This window comes from Homo sapiens, chromosome 15 (assembly GCF_000001405.40).
Source record: "Homo sapiens chromosome 15, GRCh38.p14 Primary Assembly".
NCBI lineage: Eukaryota > Metazoa > Chordata > Mammalia > Primates > Hominidae > Homo > Homo sapiens.
The window spans coordinates 83412999-83414573 of NC_000015.10; the positions used below are offsets into that span (position 1 = coordinate 83412999).

At 45.6% G+C, this 1575-nt stretch overlaps 1 annotated feature.

The window, feature by feature from the left end:
• Window positions 345-434: an enhancer, noted in NCBI's record as "active region_9972". NCBI's record gives its function as "activates an Ori minimal core promoter by ATAC-STARR-seq in GM12878 lymphoblastoid cells {active_cell/tissue: GM12878}" and the evidence as "EXISTENCE:reporter gene assay evidence [ECO:0000049][PMID:35858748]".

Here is a 1575-nt window from a genome sequence, read left to right on the forward strand (position 1 = left end):
ATCAACAACAACATAATCTAAAAATAACCACCATTGATTGGGTAGTCATTCTGTGCCAGACCCAATACTACCATTTTACATATATTTTGTTTTTCACAACAATCTTTTGAGTTAGGTAACATCAGCTATATGTTACAGATGAAGGAACTAAGGATTTGAATGGTGACGTGGACCGTGACCACATGGTTAGCAAACGGGAAAGCCCTTACGCTAACCCCCACACCTCCCAGTCTCTCTGCATAGCATCTATCTATAGTCACTTCCAATCTCACAGTCTTAATGCCCCTGAGACCTTGTCATCCTGGGGGAAGCCCCATTGATGTCTAATTTACCTTCCTGGCAACTTCTCTTCCCCATAAATCTAGACCAAGGCCAGGGTGAGCCTCTCTGTCAGATTCTGTCTCCATCGGGCCCTAATTAGCCCAATGGAGATGGAACACCATGCCATCAGCGCTGGAAATTAGACTTGGGAAATCCCTGGTGGTGTTTAGGCCATTATTACTCAGCCTGGGCTTGCTTCTGGGCTTTTAAGTGCATTAGCGCACTCTGCATTGACTTGACTGACTGCTCTGTGCTGGCTGACTTGTCAAATTACCTCTCATTTGTACAGCTCACCTGATGTTGTTGAAGCACTTTCCTGGCATTGGGAGCTGCTGGTTCATCCTGAGGGATCTGGGGACTGGGCCTAGTTTTACAGATGGAGAAGATGAGACATAGCTCTTTTGAGTAAGTGTGTGGTTGGTTTCCTTCAAATGCTTAATGTTTGTAACTGCAGTGATTTTCATGTGGAAAGATCTAAAGTTTCAATTTGGCTACATAATAAGCCTCAGAATGAGGCCATGTTTCAAGGTATCAAAGTGAAGCATAGAGGGGATCAATTTGTTATTGAATATGGGCCCTGTAAGCCACCCAAAGGAATAGCCTGGATCTGGAGGTTGACAGCCATTATCTCCATCATCTGGAGTCACAGGCTGGTGGTCTAAAGTTACATAGCTGTTCTTGTTGCCCTAATGGAAGTGGTTTACCAGAGGCTGCCCAAGAATGACAGCATTACGAATACAGATCTGTGGTCTTGTGACTTCACCTTAGATCAGTGCCATCTCCCCACCTGGTGGGCAAAGGGGCTAGTTAGAAGGGAAGGGGCAACACATCTATCAATTCATCCCATCAACCCATCCACAATTCATCCATCTATCGATGCATCTACCCATTCCTGAACCCATCCTTCCCACACATTTTAATTGAGCAACTACTAAGTACTAGGTTTCATACTTGATAGGCACTTAGGATGAGACTGGTTGGAAGGAGTCTCAAGCAAATACCCAGCCAGGCAAAGAATAGTCTCCCGACATGGTTCAGGTGAAAATAATTCCAAAAGGCAGCAGTCGAGACCAGGGAGTCAGTTCCCCTGCACCAGCAGAAATACACACAGAATGGGAGTCAAAATAACCAAATAACCCACTCAACAAGCTGGAGAAAACAGCCCACGTTGGCATGGGAATACCTCATCCTAGGCCGGTCTTCCAGGAGGAGTGACCTTGCTCTAAGTCCCTATGTAGTTGTGGGAGGAGAATC